At 41.0% G+C, this 17969-nt stretch overlaps 1 long non-coding RNA gene across 3 annotated transcripts in view; it reads left to right on the forward strand.

Annotated features, from left to right (window-relative positions):
* NEPRO-AS1 (NEPRO antisense RNA 1) overlaps nucleotides 1-16208 on the forward strand; it is a 164860-nt gene extending 148652 nt beyond the window's left edge. For all 3 annotated transcript variants that reach the window (NR_186661.1, NR_186663.1, NR_186662.1), the window contains one exon: nucleotides 14884-16208. This is a non-coding gene — a long non-coding RNA (NEPRO antisense RNA 1). The remainder of the gene's footprint in view (nucleotides 1-14883) is intronic.
* The last annotated feature ends 1761 nt before the right edge of the window (nucleotides 16209-17969 follow it).

Genomic DNA, 17969 nt, shown 5'->3' on the forward strand with positions numbered 1-17969 from the left:
CTAAGGCCCATCAAAAGTTACTCCTATTTCAGAGAGCCTTCCCAGTCCAGCCTCCCTTATCCATACCTGCCTGGTGGCATTTCATCATTTCCCCTGTGTCTTATCTTAGCCCCTCAAGCAGATCATTAGTTGCTTGAAACTGGGACTTTGTCTTCTGTGTTTCTGAACTTTTTTTAATGTCCTTTTTTCTCCCTTCCTCTCACTCCCCATCATAGTAAGGGCTTGCTCTAGCAGGCATTTAATGTTAGTTGATTGATTGAGAGACCCTAGAATGATGCCAAGTTCTATTTAGACTTCAATTATAATGCTCAAGGGGTGGCTGGATTTTGGCTTGGATAAAAGCCAAGATTTTATATGCCCCAGTGGAAAACCTTTAATACCACCTAACACATTGTGGGGTGGGAAGGCTAAGACATTATGTGTGTACAAAATCAAGCGATGTAATACCGTGAGGCTCCCAAGGCAGTTATAAATCAGGCCACTCCAGAGGGGTAACTGCGGGCTGTGGCCATTACTTCACTCCTGTTTTCTCAACTGAGAACGACGGCTCACGTTTGCCAAGCTTTACTTGCAGGGGTGGGGGCTGTTGTTCCCCAGGATTGGGCAGACCGTTTCTCTTGGAAAGACAGAAAACTGGCTCACAGAGTTCTGCCAAAGATAGGAGAACCTGGTCTTGTTTAGAACTCATCAAATGCCCTATTTTTCAAACATCAGGGCTGTGTGAAATGCAAAGTGCTTTCGTCAAGCACTACCCCCATACCCCATAATATTAAAACATGCATATTTTAAGGGACATTTAATCCATATGCTTTTTATTTACTTACCCTTAAATCATCAAAAATAATTATTATGAAAACCTGTTTGACATCTGAGAAACTTTATGAGCATAATTTGGAAATTTAAAAATCTTGCTTTCAGGAAAAAAACAGAAAGTTGTGCTTTTCCAAAAACACACGGCTTTTAAAACAAAGAGACGTGAGGGCCTTTCCAGCATTCTAATTTCACAGGGCTTGAGGGGTTCAGCACCAGCACAGCACAAGCTCATATCCCTCATCTCTCCAGTGAATCGCAGATGGAAGTCTCAGGCATGGCAGGTTCAGGCTTCTGCACTTGATTTGATTCTGTGACCCTTTAATACCTGACAGTGACAAAACTTCATCTGTCTGCAGGCTCCCAAGCATATTTTACAAATACCCCAGATGCATGTTCAATGTGTATTTCTGCAAAGTGTGTGACTGTGGCCTGATTATCTTCTTAAGCAGATAAGACATAAATTCCAGGGTGTTAGAGACAACTTTTGAAGTTCAAAAGAAGTACCTGGCAATGAAAATCTACCACAATGCAGCTCAAGTATTTCATTCTGTGAAATAGACTTGCAATGATCTGATTGATCTCAGGGTGAGGCACGAGGCAGGAAATGTGGGATGTCCCATACTGTCTGTTAAGGCCCTGTCTGAAATTGTCCCTGAAAACTGAGAGCCACCACTTTGGTCTCTGAGTTGATTCACGCGTAGGTGAAATTGTGTAATGGGTGGAGTGGGTGAGTTTCAAAGCAATCCTGATATGCACACATACACACATACATAATGTTTGTATAGAACTATCCTATATGAACACAATGAGTCCAGAGCAAGTGAGCAATAGAGAAGGTAAGAGATTCTGATGGAAGAAGAATTGCAGTGTGCCTAAGCTCAATGCGTGATTGTTGAATGGGAAGTGACTGCACGTTGCTGAGATAAGTAACAGGAAGTCTGGATCCATGACTTCCTAGTCCCAGACAATAGGCTCACCTCTTCCAAGGTATGGATATGAGGTTTGAGGTAAGAGGAGAACAAGAGGCAGCTGCAGGGCAGGGAGCAGTGGCTTAAGCAAGTGGTAGGAAGTGGCAGTGCAAGGAGGCCCACCTTCCCCAGGCCTCCCCACTGTCCTCCCTCCTCTGCTGCCTTGGAGCTCAGCCTGAGACGAGCAGAGCTCTGCCTGGACAGTGAGTCCCCAGTCATGATACTCAGCATCCGAGTTAACCATTCAGTAGAACTTCACTGAGGGCCTGTCAAGCGTGACACAGCCATTGTCTCAGAGCCACAGTGGTGGAGAACATTTCAGTCCCCAGCCTCACAGTTCGCAGTCTGGCAAAGAATGACCAGCTTCCCTCCTGTCTGCCCTAGATTCAAGAGAGTGCCAAAGGAAACAACAGGACAGAAGGAGACATGAGGAAGAGATGGGACAGACAGCACTCAACCCTGAGCAGACGTGAGGGGCAAAAGAAAAGGCAACATTAAGGACCCATTCAAGTTTCAAGTCTCAGCGTCCCAGAGGATGGTGAGGATACAGCAAAAATGGAGAGTGCAAAAGGAGAAAGGCAGTTGAATGTGAAGATAACGGGGTCTTCGGAGCCTACCTACTAAGTCTGGTGGGATAACCCTGTTAAATGGGAAGAGGGAGGCCTTTCTTGGTACATTTTAGGAGGAAAAAAATGGCTGCCTGGAAAGTTCATATACCAGCAGCAAAAAGAAAAGCAGAATGGGATGAGAGATTATGAAAGCCCTTCACGAGGAGGTTAAGTTCTGGCGGGTGTGCCCATCAGAGACCAGCAGAGACAACTGGCTCTCCGGCCTGAGTTCGCCTACATCAGAACTAGCACATCTCTCTGTCTAATTTCTAATCACTGTAAATATGTTCAAAATGAAAGAAAAAAGTAATCTCACACCCCAATAAACTGGATCAGATGTGTGTGCTTCAGTGGGTAGTGGTAAATCTACATATGGAAAACTGTATTCAGAAACGCCTGACTATAGCACTTAAATTCTATGGCACACATGGAATGAATTGAGAAGATAGCCAAACTTACAAATATTCCACCCACACTGTGTAATATGGCATCCTGATGCGTTCGGGAAAGTGAAGAACAATGTGGTGGGACACCCCCTCCACGGCTAAACGTGGACACCTTGAGCATGGACCAGATTCTCCCTTTTTTTTTTTTTTTTTTTTTTTTGAGATAGAATCTTGCTCTGTCACCTCGGCTAGAGTGCAGTGATGCGATCATGAATCACTGCAGCCTCAAACTCCTGGGCTAAAGTGATGCTCCCATCTGAGCCTCCCAAGTACCTGGGACTACAGGCCTGTGCCACCATAATTGACTATTTTGTTTTGTGTTTTTTGTTTTTTGTTTTTTTAAATTTTATTTTAGAGATGGGGACCTCATGATGTTATCCAGGCTGGTCTTGAATTTTTGGGCTCAAGCAATCCTCCTACCTCAGCCTTCGGAGTTGCTAGGATTACAGGTGTGAGCCATTATGTCCAGTGGACCAGATTCCTTATGAGATTTTCATATCACTAAGCATTTGGACAATCTCATCATTTTCTTTTTTTAACTTTTATTTAAGGTTTGGGGATACATGTGAAGGTTTGTTGTTATAGGTAAACTCACGTTACAGGGGTTCGTTATACAGATTATTTCATTACCCAGGTATTAAGCCCAATATCCAATAATTATTTTTATCTGCTCCTCTCCCTCTCCCATCCTCTACCCTCAAGTAGACCTGAGTGTCTATTGTTCCCTTCTTTGTGTTTATGAGTTCTCATAATTTAGCTCCCACTTGTAAGTTTGAACAGAACATACATCTGTTCCTGTGTTAGTTTGCTAAGGATAATAGCCTCCAGCTCCATCCACGTTCCTGCAAAAGACATGATCTTGTTCTTTTTTATGGCTGCGTAGTATTCTATGAAGTATATGTACCACATTTTCTTTATGTAATCTGTCATTGATGGGCATTTAGGTTGATTCCATGTATTTGCTATTGTAAATAGTGCTGCAATGAACATTCCTGTGCATGTGTCTTTATTATAGAATGATTTATGGTCCTCTGGGTATATACCCAGTAACAGGATTGCTGAGTCAAATGGTAGTTCTGCTTTTAGCTCTTTGAGGAATCGCCTTACTGCTCTCCACAATGATTGAACTAATTTACACTCCCACCAACAGTGTATACCTGTTCCCTTTTCTCAGCAACCTCGACAGCATCTGTTTTTTTTTTTTTTTTTTTTGACTTTTTAATAATAGCCATCCTGACTGGTATGAGATGGTATCTCATTGCGGTTTTGATTTGCATTTCTCTAATGATCAGTGATATAGAGCTTTTTATTCGTATGCTTCTTGGCTGCATGTATGTCTTCTTTTGGAAAGTGTCTGTTCATGTCCTTGCCCACATTTTCAATGGGGTTGTTTTTCTCTTGTAAATTTGTTTAAGTTTCTTATAGATGCTGTATATTAGACCTTTGTCGGATGTGTAGTTTGCAAATATTTTCTCCCGTTCTGTAGGTTGTCTGTTTACTCTCTTCATAGTTTCCTTTGCTGCGCAGAAGCTCTTAAGTTTAATTATAACCCATTTGTTAATTTTTACTTTTGTCGTGACTGCTTTTGGTGTCTTTGTCATGAAATCTTGCTAATTCTTATGTCCAGGATGTTATTGCCTAGGTTGTCTTCCAGGGTTTTAATATTTTGGGTTTTACCTTTAGACTTTAATCCATCTTGAGTTCAATCTCATCATTTTCTGAAAAGAAATCATACACTATCCCCTCTGGCCATCTAGAATGCTTTGGAATATTCATTATTTTGAGGAGATAAATGTTCCAGATAACAAAGGGTTTATCTTGTTAAGTGACAAAACTTTTTTATTTCAATAATTTGGAATAAAATCTCTCCCAAAGTTATATATATTTTTCTTAACTTCTTAAAGGTGAATTTCACTTGAGGACTGCTCATTACAAACTCTGCTATAATAAGAGAAATACTAGACTATAAGTTCCATGAGAAGTGAGTGCATGCAGAAACTGGTGATCCAAATAAGGGCTGTAGTCTAGTTAATAGCACTATACCAATGTTAATTTCCTCACCTTGATAATAAACTTTACTTATGTAAGATTGTATAATTAGGGAAAGCTGTAGAAGGGTATATAGGAATTATTTCTGCAGCCTCTCATGAATCTAAAATTATTCAAAATAAAAAGTTAAAATTTTCTGTTTCAGTTATCAAGTAGGTAAGTAGGGGAAGGAAGGAAGGAAGGAAGGAGAGGGGAGGAGAAGGGAGGGGAGGGGAGGGGAGGGGAGGGGAGAGCAAGGCAAGGTAGGCCAGAGCAGGCCGGGGCAGGGCAGGGAAGGGAAGGGAAAGGAAGGGAAGGGAGGGGAAGAGAAGAAGGAGGGGAGATCTATGTAAAGCCATATAGGAGAGACTATGCAGCAACAGAAATATGGAGGCTTTAAATCCAGGCTGACTCTGAGGTCAAATCCCCTTCCCAGCTTTGGGACGCATTTCTTAAACTCTGTGAAACATTTCTTAAACTCTGTATCTACCTTTATAATATCAGGGATTAAAAATACATACTGCAGAGGATTGTTGTGAGGATTAAATTAAACAATATGCCCAATACACTCAAACTGGGTATTCATCACCCGGTGGACATTCAATAAATTGTCCTATTCTAAACACCCTTATTTTTGTAGTGCTGGTTACCAATCATCAGAACTCAGCTCTCACTCATTAATGCTCTCAGGGTGCTTCCCTATTTAATTTGCTGCCTCTTCACCTGCTGTGAGTTTGATCTAGTTCTATATACCATATTATATAGGCTCCAAATAAGGATCACATATGGTCAATAAAGTGTTTTGTGTTTGTTTGTTTGTTTGTTTGAGATGGAGTCTCACTCTGTTGCACAGGCTAGAATGCAGTGGCGCAATCTCAGCTCACTCTAACCTCCGCCTCCCGGGTTCAAGCGATTCTCATGCCTCAGTCTCCTGAATAGCTGGGATTACAGGTGTGCACCACCACGCATGGCTAATTTTTGTATTTTTAGTAGAGAGGGGGTTTCATCATGTTGGCCAGGCTGGTCTTGAACTCTGACTTAAAGTGATCCACCATCCTCGGCCTCCCAAAGTGCTGGGATTATAGGCGTGAGCCACTGCACCCGGCCAAAAAAAGTATCTTTGTTTTAACTCACAGGCACTAGTTTTAGCTGCTCAGACACCTTTGTTCTTTTGATTTCCTGTCTAGTTTTTGACTGAGTTCCAGATGGATAAGGTTTCTAGACAAGTTCTTGTTAGATTAGGCAATGGCATTAATAAAAAATAGCCATCATTCATTGATCATTGTAATGCTAAATATGCTAAGCAGTTAACATACAGTATCATTTAATCCTCACTCTGTGAGGTAACTACTTTAATTTCTAGACTGGAGATAAAAAATTCTGATACCTTGCCCAAGGTCCCAGAGCTAATTAGCTGCAGAGCTGGCATCACTAGGCCTGGCTGACTCCAGAGCCCAAGCTTCTATCACAGAGGATGCTGGAACAGCTTCCTGTTCTTCAGTGTAATCAAAGGTACTTTTAAACATCCCTAGTCTTTAGGGTTGGAGCTCGATCACTTTGAAGGAGATAAAGAGGATGAGAAGAAGGGGAAGGGAAAAGAAGGGAGTAGTAGTCAAGAATCCAGTTATCTGAAAACAACTGTTATAGAAATAGTATTATTTTATATTGGTAGATCCTTTAAAAATGTTTGTTCAGTGATTCAGAAATAAGCAAGGTTTCCCCAACTGCTAGAGAAAGAATACTTTTTTCTCCTTTCTATAGCTGAAATCTCTCATCTATGCTGACTCTACCTCCGAATGCGTGACAGAACCAGCCAGGAAACATTTCTCACAGAAATATGAAGCACTTGGATTTGAATTGTGTAATTTCCCTTTAGAGGCCATCCTTAAGAATTGCGTGCCTTGCATGTTGAAGAATTTCTGTCTTTGGTTACCTGACATCTGAATAAATGCTAACGATCTCACCAGTCAGTCCACAGAGTCCACTGTTTATGTGCTTCAGCCTGTAATGGGAGACATGCGGGAAAACACAAAAGAAGGAAAAGAGAGTACTCCTGCTTGCAAGATGCTTTCCATCTCATCCAGCAGAGAACCTGGTCTAAGAGAGGTGTAAAGAATGTGCCTATTCTATAAGGGAACAGAGGCCAGAAACCAGCAAGGCTGTGGACCTAACCAGCTGTAAAGGCAGAGAAGTTTTAAACAGAAAAGGCTGCTGGGCCTTGGCATGTATTTTGCAATGGTTTGTGGTGTGAGGGATGTTTGGAGCAATTGTAAACAGGAACTGCTATGTCCTTATTAGGAATAATCACTTCTCCAGGCAAAGAAGTGGCTGTTGAGGCTTTTAAACACGTTTTGTGCTTAAGGTTTCCTCTCTCCCTCCTAGCCCAAGCCTATTCTCCCCATTCCTCCTGTAGGAACTCATTGAAGCTGTACTGCGTGGTTGCTCTTTGTGATTGCTGCTTGGCAGAACCCAAGAAAAGAAACATCCAGGGACTCCATCTGGCTGGATTCACCTTGATCCTAACTGCTCACAAGAGCTGTTTATTCCCCCAACACTGAGCCTAGTATACCTCTCCTTTCTACAGAGTGCCCCTAAGAGCTATCCAGCAGGCCTGGCAAATTTTGCCAAAGACAGAACACTGGGCAGGACTTCAGGGGGTGGGGATGGGTGCTCAGCAGCCTGCATTTGGAGAGGCAAGAGCTCAATAGAAAGTAGGGTCTATGGAAAGAACATATTGGGGCCTCAGTTTCCCTGTGGGGAAGGGGAGATAAACCCTCAGGCCTCAATGCCCGAGGTCATCCCCCGGGGGCTGCTTTGATCCAGTATCACCTGTACAGAGGTGATTAAAACATAGCTGTGGCAACAAACAATATGGGTCAAAATTCTGGCTCTGCTTCGTCCTAGATGCATCTGCTTGGGAATTAAAGTGAGATGTAGCAAAAAGCTGAATTTAGGGGGAAAATGAAGGGTCTTTTAGAATTCTAGCCATAGGCCAAACCACCTTAGAGGAGGTGGTTATTTATAAACATTTGGGATTAAGGAGACTGAGCAAATTTGAAGACAAAGGTAAAGTCAGTTTTTCTCATTTTGAGAGTCAAGAGCGAATGAAATATTCAAGTGAAGATGGCAATAGGCAGTTAGAAAAACAGAAATAGAGTTTAGAGAGAGATTAGAATGAGATTTTCTTCATTAATGATCCATGCATGATCCTGTTTTATTTATTTTATTTCATCTTTAATAATATGAGGAACACTATGAACCAACCTATAGCGCAAGAACTAACCATTACCAATAACTCACATCTACACAGTCCTCATTCATATCACAGCCCTTCACCTCAGAGGAACCAACCATGATTTGGAATTCTGTGTCTATCATTCCTTTGCTTTGCTTTCTGCTTTATTACAATATATTCTTGTATAAAAAGTAAGTTGATTTTTCTTGTTTTTGAACTTTATAAAGAGGTTACACTATAATGTCCGCTGGAACTTGCTTTTGTCACTCTACATTATGTCACTAAGATTTATCCATGTTCAGTGTAGCTGAATATCACTAATTTTCACTACTGCATAATATTCCATTGCATTAATATATACAATTTATTTGTCTCTTGTCATTGGTTATATGAGTTGTTTCCAATTTTTTGCAATTCTGAACAGTGAGCTATGGACATTTTTTCCTATGTCTCCTGGGACATATATGTAAGAGTTTCCCTTGGGCATGTGCCTAGGAGCAGAATTAATCAGGGAGGTGATTGTCAAAGTTTGTCCAGGGAAACCATGTAAAGCAAGAAAAGAAGAGGACTGGGGTCATATTCTTAGAAACATATACATTCAAGTATGTAGAAGAAGAAGAGGAGCCAGACAAGGAAATTGAAATGGGTAGCAGAAGAAAGGAAGTACACTCAGGAGAGAGGAGGGTTTCTTAAAGACAGGGTGACCAGCATCAAAGGATGCTGCAGAGACCATTTGAGGAGAATAAGGTTGAGAAAAGGTCAGTGATATTTGAGAAAGCTATTTGTGGCTTTGCGGACTGCTGAGAGTGGAAGCCAGTTTTCAAGGAATTAAGGATGAGTTGTGAGGGGAGAATGTAGAATGTACGTTCTACATATAGAAAGTTATAGAAAGTTAGAGGAGATAGCAGAGCTGATACATGATTTTTAATATGTTAGTTGTTTTAAGGATAGAGAAGACTTATGTTTATAGATTCAGAAGTAGAAGCCAATGGGAAGATAGAGATTGAAGAAGCAAGAGAGGTTAGTTGTAGAGGAAGGTCTTTTAAGGATCTGGAGAGGATAGAATGTGAAGCACAAGTTTGTTCTTGGCAAGGAGGAAGAACTCTATGTCTCTGAGACAGGGAGGCTGAAAAAGAATGCATTAAAAAATTATCATCATCATCACAGCAAGTTACATTTATTGGGTGTACCATGTAAAATATCTTAAACTTACCCATTAACAAACATTATCTCACTTAATCCTCTGAACAGCCCTGTGACATAAGTACTTTTATCATCGCTATTATAATTTTCATTTTACAGAAGAGGAAACTGAGGCTGAGAAATGACTAGACCCAGCTAGCTGATTGAGGGTATGTGCTGTCAATCACTACATGTAAGCTGAGAATCAGGAAGGCAAAACAAGCTTGAGCTAATGGCCAAAGCTCAGAGCTGAAGGAAATCAGAAATGTTGTAAGAATGGAAATGCTTGGACTGGGCACTCTTGGGAATGTGATAACAAATCAGAAAAGGGAAGTGAACATATTGGGCTCCTACTATGTTTCAGACTAAGCACTAGGACCTTTACAAACATTGACTTATTTCAACAGAGATAAATAAAAAGATGTCTAAGAAGTAGCAAGCGCCCAGTAGTGACTGGAAAGTATCCAAATGTAGTGGAATTAAACAGTCTGGGCTTCCTCCAGCATACTCAAGTGCCAGGAACAGGAATCTGGAAAAGACAGTGTGGTTGAGACCAGGTTGGGGAGATACATAGTGGAAGCCAAGAGGCAAGGGTGTTGGGGAGGCCAGAGAGAACCATTTACTGGTTGACCATGAGGACTCACATAGCAAGGAAGGAGAATAAAGTCATAGAAAAAGAGACTGAGTTGGGGCTGGGGGAAGATCAATGGACTAAAGCTCACAAAGTGGCACAAAACCAATCCAGCACTGGCATGAGTGGGAGGGAGGTGGAAAGAAAAGAGCTTAAGGCATAGAGGACTTTCATGATTTGAGATCCCAGAGATTGAGCAGCTGAGGGCTGAGAGGTTTGCAGTGTGGTCACCCAGGTGGGTGCTGAAGGAGAAGAGGGTGTAGATGAATGCCACTGAGATTGAGAAAACAGAAGGCTCAGCTACACATAGCACTTGTAGTTTTGTTGTTTTATAATCTTCATAGCTGCCCAGTGGAGTGGGTGTTCCTAGAGACATTACATAGGTGACCAAATTGAGGCTCCCCCAATTTGGAAGAAGCAGAAGAAGGGTGTGAACCAAGTTTGTCTCCTAGTTCCCCTCTTCCTCTTCTTGGCCGAATATTTTCACTCACCCTTCAAGAATCAGTTCAAATATTATCTCCAAGAAGGGTTCGCCACTCCCAAGGCTGGGTCCGATGCTCTGCTTCTAGAATTTCATGATTCCTTTTTCACCTTTGTCCCAATTACTCATTTATTTCTCTTGCTAGTCTAGAAGAAAGTGACTATGTCTCGATTTATTTCCAGGGCCTGGCACAATTATTGAGCCAAGATGAGCTCTGTATGTGTAATGAATTAATGTGTTTGAAAACAATAAACTGGGCTTAGAGACATACCAAACCAGGAGTCTCTGTTTCTGCTATTTGGATGTACGGTCCCCATACGTTTGGTATGAGGAAAATGGTTATTTATTTAAAAAATAAGGTCAGCATGGCAGGGGTAAATAGAAGAGCAGCCAAGAGAAGCACAGGAGGGAGCAGAGGAAGGGGTGGCCTCATCTGGATAGGAATGAGTTTAGAAAAGAGAGTAGGAAATACAATTAGACCAGTACAGAATACATATTTGTTGAATTACTTAAGTCATTAATTAATCAAAAGCCCCCAATTTCCTTGGAGGGCAACTAGGTTTTTATCTAGTGATCTCAGATAAATGTCTAGATAAAACTAGACAGAACTAGATAAAACCTGTTACTCCCCAAAAAAATCCACCTTCATCACTCATTCTTCCTCAACCCCAGAAGAATCTCCCTCCTCTCCTCAACTGCCCACCACAGCCTTGTTTCATTCCCCATTCTTCACACCAACCTTGCCTTCCAACCCCAACTCCCCCAAACCTCCCAATTCCTTCACACATGCCAGTGCCTCTACACACACACACACACACACATTCGTGCACACACACATACACACACACACGCACACATCCTACATCATTCCATCCCCAGATAAGCATCTGCACTTGCTCTCTCCCTGACTGCTTCTCCTCTCTTGTTCCCAGACTGGGAAAAGAGAAAGCCTGTTTTCAGTTAAGGCTTTGGTCACACACAGATGCCTTTTCCATTACTCTTGTTTTTCCTCTTGAGGTGTAGCATTTCCAATTAATTCTCCACAGGGGAGGCAGCCGTGCATTAACCACCCCACATGGGCTTGTGAAGAGGGGAAGGGAAGCAGGGCCCTTGGAGGCCTGACCTGGACTGCCTACAACTGACCCCTGCACAGGCTGCAACAGGAGCTTCCTTCCCTTTGGGTTACAGAAGGTGACCCTGTGGATGCAGTTCGAGGGCATGTCACACATTACCTATCTCTGTGGCTAAGGTCTGTGAAATAGACACTCTCCTAATCCCCTGTACTGACCCTTGAGCAGCCTAAAGACACTAAATAAGCCTTGTCTGGTGAGATCCTGGAACTCATCTTGCTTCATCTTAAAACTCTAGGGGAAGAGTTAGAATGCAAGAACTACAACAGACTCATGAAAATCAACAAGGATTTGTCCCTCATGGATCTCCTATTTTGTACAGAACTCTAGAACATATAATTTCCCCCACAAATTACAGGGGGGTGTAAGTGAAAACATGAAGGAATCCCTTATGCCCCCTATGGAGAGCTTCTGCCCATGTGATATGAGGAAATATACAAGGTTTCTTTGGAACCTGGATGCTGAGCAGTTGATCCAGCTCTGTCACTAGTCCTCACCCATTACCTGCACAAACAGGAAATTCAAATTTGGGTCTTCAGAAAGTGAAAGGTTGACATTTCATGGGTTCTGAAGGTTGGTCAAGAATTGTCAAAACTGCAAGTATTTAACTTGTAAATGCCAAGCGTTGCTGTGATAACAGCCCTTGTGTGATTTTTGCGAACTACAGTAAGCGAGGCATTGTGCTAGGAGCTTCACAATCACTATGATGTGTGCTGGGGGTTGACTGCTATGATTTTGTGATACACCAGGACTGTTATGGAGAAACCCCATCCTCACAGAGGGCCCGGACTCCATTGCTTTGCCCATTTGCAGCTCCACTTCAAGAATCCTTGATACTGGGTTTCATGGCTGGAGATTCACCTGATTGATTCTGGGGTTGGAGAAGGGATTGGGGGAGTCCTTTTCAGCAGCAGGAAGAACAAAGGCCATGGGAAATGAGTGGTAGGAAACAGCAGGGGGGATGAGAGGTATTTGAAGGGAGGAACTGAAGATTACTGTCAGATTTGAGGCCCAGAGAGCTCTAACACTGAAGGACACATGCTATTTATAATTGTAGGAAAATAGGCTTGATTTCACCTTCAAAGCCCTGGGGCCCCTCTCCTACACACCTGGTTCCAATTATCCAAGATCTCATCTACCTAGAAGACAATGTGCATCTTGCTCTGATTCCCAGCCTGACTTTATCCTCTCCAGAGTCTCATCCACTTTCCGAAGTGAATTTAAAAGAACCAAGTGGAAGAGGGGATCCTGGTTAACCCACATACCTGGAAATACATTACTATTTCATATTCCACATCTGCCTTAAGTTTTATCATCAACAAGTTAATCATTTGCATAGTTCGTCCTTGTAATAATGCTTACACACTGAGATGCTTATTTTAAGAACATATCATGTAGCGAAAAATTCTTAGGAAATGGAAATATGATTTGGGAAATATAGTCAGTAATATTCATTGCATATTCCTTACCTTCAGATTACAGGAATGGGCACGTTGGAGATAAAATACAAAAAGTATGATCCTAGACCTCTAGAATCAAACCTTCTGTTGTGGTTTCAAGGTTTTTGTCCACTCCAAAACTCATATTGAAACTTAATCTCCAATGCAACAGTGTTGGGAGATGGGGCCTAATGGAAGGTGTTTAGGTCATTAGGGCTCTGCCCTCATGAGTGGATTAATGCCACTATAAAAAGGGCTTTCTGGAGTGGGCTCACTCCCAAGCTCTTCTGCCACATGAGGAAGAGCATTCCCTCCTCTGAAACATGCAGCATTCAAGGCGCTCATCCTGGAAGCAGACGGAGTAGTCCTCACCAAGTATCAAACCTGCCAGCACCTTGATCTGTGACCTCCCAGCCTTCAGAACTGTGAAAAATACATTTCTGCTTTTTATAAATTACCCAGCCTCAAGTATTCTGTTATAGTAGCACTAACCAGACTAAGACACCTTCCAAATGGAGCGGCAGAATTCACCCAAAGGATAATTAGGTGCTTCACTACTGAGACTAGTTGGGGAGGGGATCTGATCTACTTTTAATAGGATAGTTTTAAAAAGCTTCCCTGAAATGATGCATTTAAGCCAAGACCCGAAGAATGAAAAAGAGCCACTCTTACAAAGAACAGGTGAAATTCTTTCTAAGGAGATGAACCAGAAAATGCAAACTCCCTGAGGCTGGAAAGAGCTTGTTCAAGGAAATTAAAAATATAATTGAGATAATATTACACATAAAAATTTTCATGCTGTATTTCCACTTAGTATGAAAATGCATTTTCTATGTTATTAATTTTTTAAGTTTCAAAGATCTTATAGTAATCTATAAATGTAATATAATTTGCATAACAATACCGTCTAAGAATACTTTGGAACTTTTTGCTTTTACAGAAGATAGCAGCACAGCTTTATACATAAATACATAGAAATACATACATATATATAAATATTTTCTGATTTGCTTATTTTTCTTCAGGAAAAATTGCCAGAAGTGAAACTATTATTTGATGCATAAACATTTTCCAACCAAATTACTTTCCTGAAAGTTGTCTATATTATTCTTTTGCCAGCAATATATGAAATCCATTCTAGAAGCAGTGATAATTTGAGCAGGATTTTAAATGTAAAATAGTAAACAGAAATCCTTAGTGTGGAAAATAATTAATTTAAAATTATTGATAAATATTAGGAATAGAAATTCTTTCAAAATATGTAGACTCAAATATATGTAAGAATCAGTTTAAGGAAAAGTATTCTCAAATCATTAAATATCTTTGGAAAAAGTTTTTATTTGGAAAAAAATTATAATTTAAATTATCTCCTTATATCATACCATATACTGGATTATATGGTCTTCAATTAACATTGTTGATAGGTTCTTGGAAACTGAGACTTTAAGTGAAGCAATGTATAACAAAATCAATTTTATCATAGGCTAATTAATATAAACAAGAATTAGGTTTCTACAACATATTTCTGGCTACAAAAACATCTAAATAAACTTCTAAATAAAGACCCAAAACACTTCTAATACTAAACATTGAAATAAATTGGAGCTATACATATGTTTAAGAAAGATTAATGAAAACAAGAATTATTTATCCAATTTTTAGTGAATCAATGAGTGATGGTCCTAGTGCTGGTGGGTTAAATCAGGAAATGTTTGCAAAACAAAAATTGTAAGGAGCACCTCTTACCACCACGCAGTTCAAAAATAAACAATAATAAACAAGGTGGGCTCGCAGAGCACTTTCATTCCACATTGTTTATTGTCATGCATTTGTGTGATTATTATAGACTTTATGAATTTTTATTTTATAATAATTTATATTCATTCATCCATTCATTTTTCAACCTGCTTATTTCCATTCAGGGTTGCAGGAGGCTGGAGACTATCCCAGCAGCACATGGCACAAAGCAAGAACCAGCCCCGGACAGGACGCCATTCCATCACAGGTGCACTCACACCCACCAGCACTCACTCAGACTGGGCCCATTTAGACACACCGATTCATCCAACATGCATATCTCTGGGGTGTGGAAGGAAACTGGATTACCTGGTGAAAACCCACACAGACATGGGGAGAACATGCCAGCTCTACACAAACAGTGGCCTGGTGGGGAATCAATTTTTTTTTTCTTATCAGTGTTATAAATGAAACAGTGTTGAAGTAAAGGACCTGCTCTACATTCCAGAAGAGTGAAAAAGCAAACGTAAAAAAGTATACTTACAGGGGAAGAGAAGCATAAAAGTCAAGGAAGAAAAGACAAATGGATCTAACTGCATACAGATTCAAACTTTTGTATTTCAAAAGTCCTGTAGACATAAATTCATCCTCTAAGGTACCATAGGAGGTTTCTGAATAGTAAGAGCTAACATGTATTGAATGCTCACCAGGCACTCTGCTATGTACTTAATTTGCTTATTTTATTTAATTCTCACAAGAATATTATGATTCTACCACAGTTTACTTTTCTCTCCTATCATTAGATGATAATTATTTATTCTAATAGAGGGACACTATAACTATGAACCTCTAGCTCAGAGGTGCCCGGGATTTTGCAGCAGTTAGTCGTGGAGCTGAGCTGAAATGGGTGGTCTCTGTCAAGCCCTCGTCGATTTACCCAGGATACTTACTCCTCATTCTCCCTTTGCAGTGCTTCCTCAGCCATAAGACTGGCCTGCTTGGCAGTCATCTGCCCATCCATTACTGTGGAATAGCGTATCTCACTCCTATCTCACTCATCCCGAGGCCAAAGGCTACAGTTTCATGAACACTGGTTCCCTCTGACTTTTCCTCTATTGTCTAAGCCAACCCAGGAAAAGGCACCATAGAAACAGAAAATATTATTAAAGCTCATATCACAAATCCAGGGATCATTTCCACTGAGCTGAGACAGAAAACTGATATGTTTATCAGAAAAGATAACACTTGTCTACAAAGAGTGCTTTCCAGGCCATAGGATAAACAGAGGGAGCCGCCAGCTTGACCTCTAGGCAGGGCGTCTGCACGAGGCTGGAGAGTCCGTGCTCTGTCCACCTCCAACAAAAACAGGCTGCTGACTTCATCCAGCTTCCAGTCCTTTCCCAGACAGGTCCCAGCTCTCGGCCACAGGCTTCCTCCTCTACACATTTTTATTATAAGAAGATATTCAAGAATAATTAACAAAGTAGAAATAAATGATTTCTCAGAAAAGATTTAAAAGGCTAAATATGTATAATGTAATTAAACAATGACTAACACTGGCCCCTTCAACAACTTGGCAATTCCCTTGGGCGAAGGCATTGTTTAGGCTGGCCTATGGGCCAAGGATCACGAGATGACTCACCCCAACATGGCCCTCATCTGTCAGACGCCTCTTCTCCATTTACTTGTGGAAACAGCATAGACCTAGACCTGAGTTCAAATCCTGACTCTGCCACTTATTTGGCATGTAGTCTTTAGCAAAATCCTTAGCCTAAGACTTAATCCTAACTCTCAGTTTCATTACCTGTGAAATGGCAATAATATTTCCTAACTCTTAGAAATGTTTTGATGATTAGTGATCATAAAGTATTCAAGAAATGTTATTAGCTTATTTTCAGAATTGAGCTTATTATTTCCTCATTCCTACTATTTTCTCCCAACTCCCCTTTCTGACTCTCTTTTTCTTAATAGAAAATTATCATAGTAATAAATTCACATGGATTAAGAAAAAAAGTAATACTAAAGGGGTAATGATAAAAAGCAAGAGTCACATCTCTCACCCTTTTCAAACTGAGCCTTACTCTACAAAAGTAACTATTTTTAACATTTTCTTCTGGTAGTTATCTCCATATTTCAGATAATATGCTTATATAAGTTTTTCATTTTTAAATAAAATTTGTACATGCTAAATAAAATTCCAAAAAAAAAGTGCAAAACGGACCATGTGTGCTTGCCATGAACACGTGCCTCTCAGGTATTTGAGTGATTGACCAAGGGCCCCAGTGCTATATTCTGAAATCCATCCCCACACACAGAGGCCATGATTCAAGGGTGTGAGGGATACTAAGGCAGGACCATTCTTGGGAGATGAGGGACTCCTTAGAAGAGCAACTTTGGCTTGAGCACTGTCCATCAGCTTTGCTGAAACCTCCTTAGACTGCACCACATCTAACATTTTTCCTACCCAACCTTCCTTCTTTCACAGACTTGCATCATGGTCTCCAGAGGAGACTCAGTCTCCTGGGCTCTTCCACCTCCCTCCCCATTTTCCCTCACAGATGTTCCCCAATAAATCTCTTGCACTTATCCTGCCTTGACATCAGCTCCTTGGAAGACCTGAACTAACACAGTGGTGCCAAGAGTGGTCTGAGAATAGGGGCAATAAAATGAGGTTCTGAGACTGACTCCCAAAAGACAAGTGAGCAAAGAGGACACTATCCTGAATGTTGTGTGTAGCACAGATGGTCTCCAACATGCAGTGGTGATCTAATCACTGGAAAATGTCTCCATGAAGGGAGATGTCATGGCAGATGCAATGAGTCAAGCATTTGAAAAACTTTGGGGGAAACAGTGTCTACAAAGACAGTGGGGTGTCCAGTTATAGCTAAAATGTACTGACTCCCTGCAGAGAGATTATAAGGAACAAGGGCCATTAATAAGCAGTTGAAGACTAAATGTGAGAGCCAGAAGGCCTCTTTGGTAGCTTACAAAGATGCAGCTAAGAATAGAATGAGGAAAAGACAAATCGATAGATAAAGTTGCAGAGCTCCAGAACATTTGAGCATTAAGGCAAGGTAGGACTGCTATGCTAAAATCAGGGCTCTGGTTGGAAAATACTGGGACCCTGAAACAAGGGATGGGATCATCAGGAAAGATGTCTCTGAAGACGTTGATTCTACAGCTACCTCCCCCTTAAACCTTCAGAGTTTGCAGAAGTGGCTCAGCGCTTCCTAGTGAGGGTAACATTACCCCTGTGCTGGAAGATACTGCA

Source organism: Homo sapiens, chromosome 3 (assembly GCF_000001405.40).
Source record: "Homo sapiens chromosome 3, GRCh38.p14 Primary Assembly".
NCBI classification, from domain to species: Eukaryota; Metazoa; Chordata; class Mammalia; order Primates; family Hominidae; genus Homo; species Homo sapiens.